The following is a 10,106-nucleotide window of genomic DNA, read 5'->3' on the forward strand; positions in this document are numbered from 1 at the left end:
CTCAGTGTAATTATTAGTAATTATTAATAGTTCCCCCCTCACTCCCCAAATAGCCCCAATTTGATTTTCAGCTTCATGGTCACATTGTCTAGAAATAATCTGCTCTAGGAAGACTGGTCATGAGGATATCCATTCTTTTCTGGGAAATCCCATCCCAACACCAAGGGACTGATCCAGCCTTATGGAGCCCAATAATGGTCATATACCAAGAGTCTGGAAGTAGTGCATTTACCAATGTCTGACTCATTCCACCTTACAAAATACCATATGTGGGCATCACTAGTCCAATCCAAGTTGCACGGTGGCAGGATCAGTGCTCTCTCTTTTCAGTCACACCTCTAGTGAGAGGTGAGTCCTCTGCTGATTGGGAGTCCAAACAACCTTAAAGTCCAGCCTGACAGAATCCCTTGTTATACAACATTCAGACTTATGAGCCACTTGTCCACAGGACAGTTTATAAGGCATGGTTCCCCCTCAATGATAGGAGCCCCATGGTGTTAGAGGACTAAGCAATTTTAGCAAATATACAAGCAACTAAATATACAAATAAATAAACCAAATAAACCTCTGACCTAACTCTCAACTCTGTTAGGAAAGGAAAGCAAATATCAGCTCTATCAGCTCAGAAGTAAGACTCTTTCTGTCTGCGACACTTGGGTGTGAACAGCCATATGCAAAGTGTATCAGACAAGCAAGTTTATGCTATTGGCATGGAAGTGATGCAAATCCCAGGCCAATGAAAAAATCCAGCTTTGTATTCCCCATTCACCCTCAAGCCCAATCAAACTGAATCGAGATGTGGCAGGTGTGAGCTGTAAAGGAACAGACCCTGGTGCCCAGCTGGTCTGGGGTCTATGCACCATGTTTTTCCATTCACTCCCCATTCCCATGTTTATACTGCAACTGTTGATGCTTCTCCTGCTTTCAAAGCCTCCTGGCACAGGAGACGAGTATTGCACAAGGGAACATCGGTTATGTCTGGGCTGCCCGAGGGCCTCACAGGCTGTGAGTGGCTAAGTTTTCAAGACAACCCAACTCAGCTCATGCCAGATTTTAAAAGTGCACTGCCAGCACAGAGTGGCATCCAGATACCCTGAGGGCGTGTAACACTCCAACTTTCCCCATATGTCTGGAGCTATGTGGAGTTTCTCATTTGCTAAATTGGGCCAAGTCAGAAAATTTAGACCTGAGTTCTAATTCTAGCTTCGCTTCTAAATAGCTCACTTAACTCTCTAGGCCTTAATATCCTCAACCAGAAAATATAGAAGTTGGCCTAGGAAGCTACCAACATCCCTCCTGCTCTGACATTCTGTGGGACTGCACTTCTCATGGCAATTACCATCTGGTGGTTGTACCTCAGAAAATATTCTCTCTGGGCCTCAGTTTCCTCATTTGCAAAAGTGGTGCCCATACAATAGACACCTCACAAAGAGGTTGTGGATTTCAAGCGGGACTGTGTACATAGAAGCAGACAGCACAGTGAGTGCACACAGTAGGAACTCAATAACTCTTAATTTGTAACATCTCCCAGAGTCTCCATCTGTGAAACAGAAATAATACTTGCCAATCTAGCTTGTGAAAATGTATATAGAGCAATGAATAGAGAACGAAAGGGGCTTGGAATTAAGAAAAGCAAATGCAAATGACAGGAGCTATTATTATGCAAAAATGGACTGAAGTCAGAGTTTAAGAGCAGGAGCAGATTTGATGTGCCTGATTAATTTATTAAACAGACTAAAACCATAATTAGAGAAGTCTGCTTAAACCCCTGGACTTGTCTCAGATAAGATTAAAAGAGGGAAGGCAAAAGAGGAATCTCAGATGTTTCCACGGCTTGCTGGGCCCAGAAACGAGGCCAAGAGGAGAGAGGGAGGCCAAGGGAGGGGCAAGGGTGCTAAAATGACTGTTAGAGGAAAGGAGCTGCCGAAGCCAAGGGAGCAGCTGGGAGTAGAGGCGATGACAGCTGAAGAAAGGGATTATTTCAGAACTGTTCCCTGTGGCCTCTTTAGCTTTGGCTCTCATTAAAATGAGGGGAATGAGCTAGAGGAAATCTTGCTTCCCTTTTTATGAGAAAGGGTGAGCCTTGTTTGCCCAGGAGGGGAATTGCCACAAAAGAAGAGTGTGCCTGTCTCAGCTTAGAAGTCCTACAGAGAAGGAGCACTCATACCCTTAGGCAATGGGTCCTCTCATGGAGGCCCCGAGGGAAGCAGGTGCCATGGGCTGATCGAAGCTCTTGGGCAGAAATCCAGGCTTGGCTCTAGGTTATTTTTTTCTAACATTTTATTATGAAAAATCTCATATGGCACAGTTGAGGGCACTTTTTAGTGAACACTGGCATAGCCCCACCTAAATTCTATCATTATAGTTTTACTATCTGTGCTTTGTTGCATCTGTCCATTCAGCTATCCCTCTACCCATCCATTACTTCTTCCTAATTTTGGTGCATTTTGAAGTAAATTACAGGCTTCAATATGTTTCCATCTAAACACTTCATTTGATGTAAAATTTACATGTTATGAAATGCACAAATACTAAGTCTACAGGTGCCTCATTTTGACAAACATATGCACCTGTGTAACCCAAACCCGTATCAAGATACAGAACACCATCACCTCAGGCTTGACTACAGATTTGCTACATGACCCTGGACAAGATCTTGCTTAACTTTGATCCCAGCCTGTCCCCAGCCTTTCTGATCATGGAACGCTTTTTCCAAGTGCCATGTTCAAAAATTTTGTCTTAAACAATTAAGCCTACATGGAACCTTAAATACCATTTAGTTCAAGCCCCCATATTCTAGTCAAAGGAATCTGAAGATTGGATATATTATTTATCCAAAGTCTCTAAATTGGTGGCACAGTTATAACAGGAAATTAATATTTATTGAGCAACTTCTCCAAACCAGGAAATATACTAGGTGCTCTATATGTGAATGTGAACCCTCACCACAACCTGCCTCACAGGACTATTGTAAAGATGAAATAAGATTAAATATGCAGAGTGCCTGGCACAGAGCAGACACCAAATGTCATCACTGCTTTTCTCTTGAGCCCCACATTTACATTTTAACACGTTCATACCGCTGAGATAGTAAATGTAGATGCTTCATCCCATTTAGTTATCACAATAACCCTGTGCATGCTTTACAGGTGACGATATTGCTTGTTTCTGATCATTATTAGTGAATGATGGTAGCACTAGGACTCAGACTCAGTCTCCTGACCTCAAATAATTTCAGGCAGTGAGATTTAGGAGCTTTGTTTATGTTCCTCCCAGGCCATCTGGAGCTAGAGTGGAAGGGCAATTTGAAAATGCTATGAAAGATATATTTGGTTTAAGTGACAGAAACCCAACTTAAACTGGCTAAATAGAAGAAAAGGGAATGTGTTGGTGCCTATAAGAGAAAGTTTTGGTAATGATCTAGCTTTAGGCATGGCATTGATTGATTTAGGGCTTTACATGATGTTACCAGGGATCTGACTTTCTCTCTCTCTGCACTCCCATCCCCTCAAATTTTCTCGTATCTCGGCTCCGTTCTCAAGCAGCCCCACCCTCATGGAGGCAAGATGGCCATCAGCAGGCCATGGTTTACATCTCTCCAGATTAGCAATCTCAAAAGAAAAAGAAAATTTCTTTTGCAATATCTGGCAAAAATCCAAGGATTGGTTTTACTGAACCAGGTTGTTTTATGTGTCTATTCTTGAAACAATCACTTTTTCAAAAAGGACAGAATCTATTAACTGGCCACCACGGGTTATGAGCTACTGCTGTAACCAGAGGTGGGGTCACCTCCTCCGGAGCCCCACAGACTGAAAAGAAGAAAGAGATGGTGTCCCCTATGAAAATCAACATGCTATTATCAGAAGAAAGGGAAAAGGGATGCTGGGAAGCAAAGTCTAGTTAACAAAAACAAGTTCAACAAAACTAGTTGGTGACCTGGATCAACTTGAACTATTGAAAGTGGGTTTTCCAGAAAAGTTTCTCCCAGATATGATTGCTCATCCAAATCTCTGGAAGAGTTGTTTCAATACAGATTCCATGGCCCCACCCAAGGCCTACAGAATCAGAATCCCTGCTGCCAGGGGTCTTTATGGAGTTTTGCTTTATTTTTAACACAGGCATGATTGATTCTATCACTGGCCATTGGTGATTGAATTCACTCTCTAGGGCCTCTTCCTTCCCAGAGTGGGGAGCATTGAAAGCTGCAAACTTCTAATTACCTGTTTGGTCTTCCTGGCCTCCTGCCCCATCCTGAAGCTATCTAGGGGCCCATGAAAGGTCACATCATTAGCATAAACTCAGGTATAGTTGAAAGGGGCTCATTATGAATAACAAGATACACTCCTATCACTCAGGAAATTCCAAGGGTTTTAGAAACTGAAGACAAAGACCAAATTTTTTTTTATTTTTTTATTGTCTTAAACAAGCCTACATGGAACCTTGAATACCATTTAGTTCAAGCCCCCATATTATAGTCAAAGGAATCTGAAGATTGGCGATATTATTTATCCAAAGTCACTGAACTGGTGGCACAGTTACAACAGGAAATTAATATTTATTGAGAAACTCTATAAGAACACAGTTCTTATTAGAGGTTTATAGATCATGCCTAAAAAGGGAAGCTCAAATGACAATCCATTAGGGTAAAGTCCAGCTGAAGTTCTTACTGCCTCATATAACCACTAAGAAAATGCTGAGCCATTCCCTTATTCCCTGATTTAATAAAGGATTTGGAGTCAAAGAATCAATGCATTCATGTGTTGACCTTCCAGGGAACTTACCTGATTTGTCTCAGGCATCCTTAGTGCCTTAGCCCAGGGATCCCAAGATACATGAGGTCCACTCCAAACCCTTCCCAGGAAGGTCTCTAACCATCTATCCCCAAGGATGCCCAGTGTCATGCCCCACCCCCTCGCAGTACTCTCTTACTTCCCTCAGAGATGTTCAGGCATCAGTGAAATTCTCAATAACAACTCCATTTTAGAGGTGTTTTTCCCCCAGAGGAATTACTATGATGGTAGCCATTTTGAATGTCAGGCCATGAGGGAGCTACTTCTGCTTACATGGGCCTTGTGGCCATCATTCCTGGGGCATGTGAGGTAGGATGTGAAAGGGCATGTGCTCATAGCTTCTCTTTTTCTTAGCACAGATGACTGAAATAAGAAAAGGTTGAGGCAAAAATTAGAAGAAGTCAGCAAAGTTTCTTTGGGCCATCCATCTCCTGTTTTGGTTCCCTTCTCCCACAGTCTTTCCCTTCCCCTTTACAGGTTCCCAGTGACTTCCTCCTTTCATACCTCACTGGAAGCAACATAGGAAAGGGACAGGGAAAGGAAGGACAAAAGAGAAGACAGAGCCCAGGGACACTCAGCATGGTGCAGCCAAGGGAAGCATGAAGTTGAGAAGAACCAGGACAAGTGACTTTTGATTGAGTTGACGTTGATATTGCTCATACATGAAAATGATATCAGAAAAAATTACCGGAAAGCAAATTGCAGATTCTTCAAAACTCAATATGTGGGAAGAAAAGAACCAAAAATGCATTTTTGCTGAGTAAAATGAATAGAAAAGTCATCTTGTTCTATAATCCCAAAGTAGACTCTAAAATTGGTCTCCATATCATTGGCACCACCCAGGTCTGTCCCAGCCACTGTCACCTGGACTCTCTGTGCCTATTCTTTTCCCATCTATGGCATTCATTAGAGAGGCTAAAATTTGTGTGGGATCTTAGAGGGAAGAATGGCATGTAGAGAAAAGCATCATGAGACAGGGACTCAAAATGCAGGCTCTAGTCTCAAAAAAAAAAAAAAAAAAAAAATGCAGGCTCTAGTCCCCCCCTGACAGTGATTAGTGTGAACTGGGATAAATCAAATCCCCATTCTGGGCCATAGTCTCCTAAGCTTGGATGATAATCTTTAAGATTACTTCCAGCTTTTATGTTTCAAGAGACAATGCATTCTGTGTTCATTCCCCCCCGATTCAATAATTTCTCCTAAAGTGCTCTAAAGTAAACGTACTCGTCTTAGCTTAGACACATGAGTGACAGAGAACTCTGCCTCCCAGGGCATTTACTCCTTGTTGGTCGATTTGTGGTTTCAGAATATGCCTCTCTGTAGTTTCCTCCCATTGATCTTAGTCTGGACACTAGAATAATCCAGAACAAGAGACCCTACCTGTCCACATGATAGCAGTTTAAATATTTAAAGACATTATCCTGACCTCCATTCTCAAGTTACCCTCTCCACTTCCTTTCACTCTATGTAAATGATTTTCAGACACCTCAACATCTTTCTTGCCTATGCGGGGCTCCTCCCTAGTTTATCAATGCCCATCTTAAAATGTAGTTGCCCAAATTAAATTGTATATCCTTGTGATCTCAGCAGATAGCTCAAAGACTATCTCTAGTAATCTCAGAAACTGCTTCTCCGAATGTTTTGGTTTTATTAGTAGTGAAACAACAGCATGCACTGGCTGTTGATGTGGTGCTGATGGTGGTGGCTGATGTTTAAACCAGCTACATTATACTGTTGCTTCTCAGAGGTGGGGTTCCAGCTGAGCCTGAACTGGATTCAAAAGTTGCAAGTACAGTATATGAAGGATGGCTATTAATGGTGACCCACCGGCATTGATCATTCTGTAGCAGGTGATTTTCATGGAGGAAGAAGCCTGTGGGAGGGGTCTGGTGCCAGAGTGCCTGGGGATGGAAATGTGAAGTAGTGAGGACACGAGAAGTCAGTCAAAATTGTAGCCTTTAAGATAGCTTAGATCTGCGGAGAGTGGGGTTGGGAGTTAAATTAGGGTATACACAAGACTATGTGGGCCCGGGCACAACAGCCGACAGAAACTGGAGGAGGCAGCACCCTCCCTATTTCTGCTCATGACCTAGTGGAGTCCCATGGAACACCCTGCAGGCAGTAAGCAATAGGCAAGGGGGCAGGGGCAGGATCTGTTCCTAATGTAGCATGGGTGACATTTGGAGGATTCCAAGGAAAGCTTATGGGCTCTCTGAAGATGAACATGATCCCGTCTTTGGCACTGCCGGGGAAAACTGAGCTGGTAAGGTTCAATTATTACCGGTAATGAGAGCTCATTGGAACCAATAAACTGATGATGCAAATACTATTTGGGGTATATTAATATTAACTAACAGTTAATGTGACCTCTTTCAAATTCATGTCAATTTAAGACATTCAAGACTTCTCTGAAAAGTTCCCAGTAATGTCAAATATGCTGGCTTGCCTACTATACTTTGAGTAACAAGGAATTATAACACATGGCCATAGATCTCTAAAAGAATAGTATTGAGCTAAACAGTGCCCTGAACTTGAACTACAGGGTTGGTTTCATTGCTCTCTGCTTTGCTTCCATTTTTATAAATCCTCAGAAACTTCCCCTTACTTGCTAAAATTTAGACCCTGCTCACAACATTTTTGCCATCTTTGTGTGGTTACTGAAAATAAAGAGAAAACCTCATTTGTAAAGGAAATGCCTAGGAAGCAAAGCTGTCTACTTTTGGGAAGGGAAGAAATCTCCTTTTCTGAAGGACATATTAAAATTAATCATAGAAACAGATTTTGAACTTTCATCATATTTGACCTGACATTTGATTTTCCAGAATGACTAATAAATGAGAGAAGAGAGAAAAAGCGAAGTCATTTGAATATGATCCCTTCCCTTCCTTAATCTCAATATAAACTATCTAGGGTTGTGAAGAGACTTTAAAACGTAAAATCAAAACATGTGCTGGTGAGCTTCTAAATCTTATCATTTTGGATCCAGGGTGGTGCAGAAATGAGAGGGGTAGATGAGGGACTACAAAGAACAGAGGTTGTTTTCACCCTGGGTGACACACCCTGTTCTCACTCAGGTCCCAGCCCAAGAGGTTCGTTTTTCTTCTTTAAGTTTTGTCAGAGAATATTTTTAAAAAATAAAACATCTTTTTTTTTTATTTTTCCATAAGTTATTGGGGTACAGGTGGTATTTGGTTACATGAGTTCTTTAGTGATGATTTGTGAGATCCTGGTGAACCCATCACCTGAGCAGTATACACTGCACCATATTTGTAGTCTTTTATCCCTCACCTCCCCTCCCACTCTTCCCCCGAAGTCCGTAAAGTCCACTGTATCATTCTTACACCTTTGCATCCTCATAGCTTAGCTCCCACTTATCAGTGAGAACATACAATGTTTGGTTTTCCATTCCTGAGTTACTTCCCTTTAAATAGTAGTCTCCAATCTCATCCAGGTCATTGCAAATGCTGTTAATACATTCATTTTTATGGCTGAGTAGTATTCCATCGTGTGTGTGTGTGTGTGTCTGTGTGTGTGTATACATATATACATATATAACAGAGTTTCTTTATCCACTCATTGATTCATGGGCATTTGGGTTAGTTCCACGATTTTGCAATTGTGAATTGTGCTGCAATAAACATGTGTGTACAAGTATCTTTTTCGAATAATGACTTCTTTTCCTATGGGTAGATACCCAGCACTGTGATTTCTGGGTCAAATGGTAGTTCTGCTTTTAGTTCTTTAAGGAATCTCCACACTGTTTTTCATAGTGGCTGTACTAGTTTACATTCCCACCAGCAGTGCAGGATTGTTCCCTGATCACTGCATCCATGCCAACATTTACTGTTTTTGATTTTTTGATTATGGCCATTCTTGCAGGAGTAAGGTGGTATCACATTGTGGTTTTGATTTGCATTTCCCTGATCATTAGTGATGTTGAGAATTTTTTCATAAGTTTGTTGGCCATTTGTATATCTTCTTTTGAGAATTGTCTATTCATGTCTTTAACCCACTTTTTGATGGGATTGTTTTTTCTTACTTATTTGAGTTCATTGTAGATGCTGGATATTAGTCCTTTGTCAGATGGCTAGATTGTGAAGATTTTCTCCCACTCTGTGGGTTGTCTGTTTACTCTGCTGACTGTTCCTTTTGCTGTGCAAAAGCTATTTAGTTTAATTAGGTCCCAGCTATTTATCTTTGTTTTTATTGCATTTGCTTTTGGGTTTTTGGTCATGAAATCCTTGCCTAAGCCAATGTCTAGAAGGGTTTTTCCAATGTTATCCTCTAGAAATTTTAGTTTCAGATCTTAGGTTTAAGTCCTTAATCCACCTTGAGCTGATTTTTGTATAAGGTGAGAGATGAGGACCCAGTTTCGTTCTCCTACATGTGGGTAGCCAATTATCCCAGCACCTACTCCCCTCAAGCATCACACTCTAAAATCTCACACAGAAAACTCTTCCCCACAACCAACCTAAAACATAAGGCAGACACTCAGGGGCTAGAACACAAGCAGAAAGAAGCTTTACATTACACTCAGGGGTCGGGGGTACACAGGCACACCCACCATCATTAGAAGGCCATCTCTGACAAAGACAGCATCAACTCAGGCTCAACCTCCAGGGCAAGCTCGGCAGGGCTGGCCTTCCTCCTGCTTCTGCTACTATCTTGAAGCCCTGGGCTTGGCCCCTCCACCAGCAGTACCTTGGTAACCCTGCCCACTCGGGCTCAACTGACTTTTCTTCTGACAGTATGTGAAGAGCAGGTATGTTACACAGCACTTCCCCTCCAACAGAGGCTCTCTAAGCACTCTATACCAATATTAGCTTCAGAAGGTGAAGACCAGCTTCTTCTTTCAGCTAGCCAGGCCCAAGCAAGTCACGGATGAGAGAACACATAACTTGCATACAGATAGTAGAAAAGCAGCTAACTCAAGTAAAGCGTAGCCAGGCAGGAATCTAAACTGGGATGGGTGACTGATAAAGAATTTACTATGCCCTTCTATTTCAGCCTGCCAGTCAAGTGGTTGTTCTGTCCTTCCATTTACTTATATTCTATTCCTTACCTATTTAAAAAAATGAGGACGTTTATGACAAAAATCAAAAATCCAACTGACCCATTAAAACAAAAGTGGAAGAACCAAGACTTGGATTGAAAAACTAGGAAAACACTGACTTATGAAGCCTAAGCTATAGACAAATCATTGCAATCATCCCCCAAATTAGCTCTGTGCTCCTGGTAGTCAAGGTGAAAAAAGGAAAACTATTAATTTAAAAACTGTCATCTAATAAAAGGAAACACATTTTTTCATTAAAAGAA

General features: G+C 41.7%; 1 annotated feature.

The window, feature by feature from the left end:
* Positions 9,569–9,618: an enhancer, noted in NCBI's record as "active region_22930". NCBI's record gives its function as "activates an Ori minimal core promoter by ATAC-STARR-seq in GM12878 lymphoblastoid cells {active_cell/tissue: GM12878}" and the evidence as "EXISTENCE:reporter gene assay evidence [ECO:0000049][PMID:35858748]".

The sequence above is a fragment of the Homo sapiens genome, chromosome 5, assembly GCF_000001405.40.
Source record: "Homo sapiens chromosome 5, GRCh38.p14 Primary Assembly".
Lineage (NCBI taxonomy): Eukaryota > Metazoa > Chordata > Mammalia > Primates > Hominidae > Homo > Homo sapiens.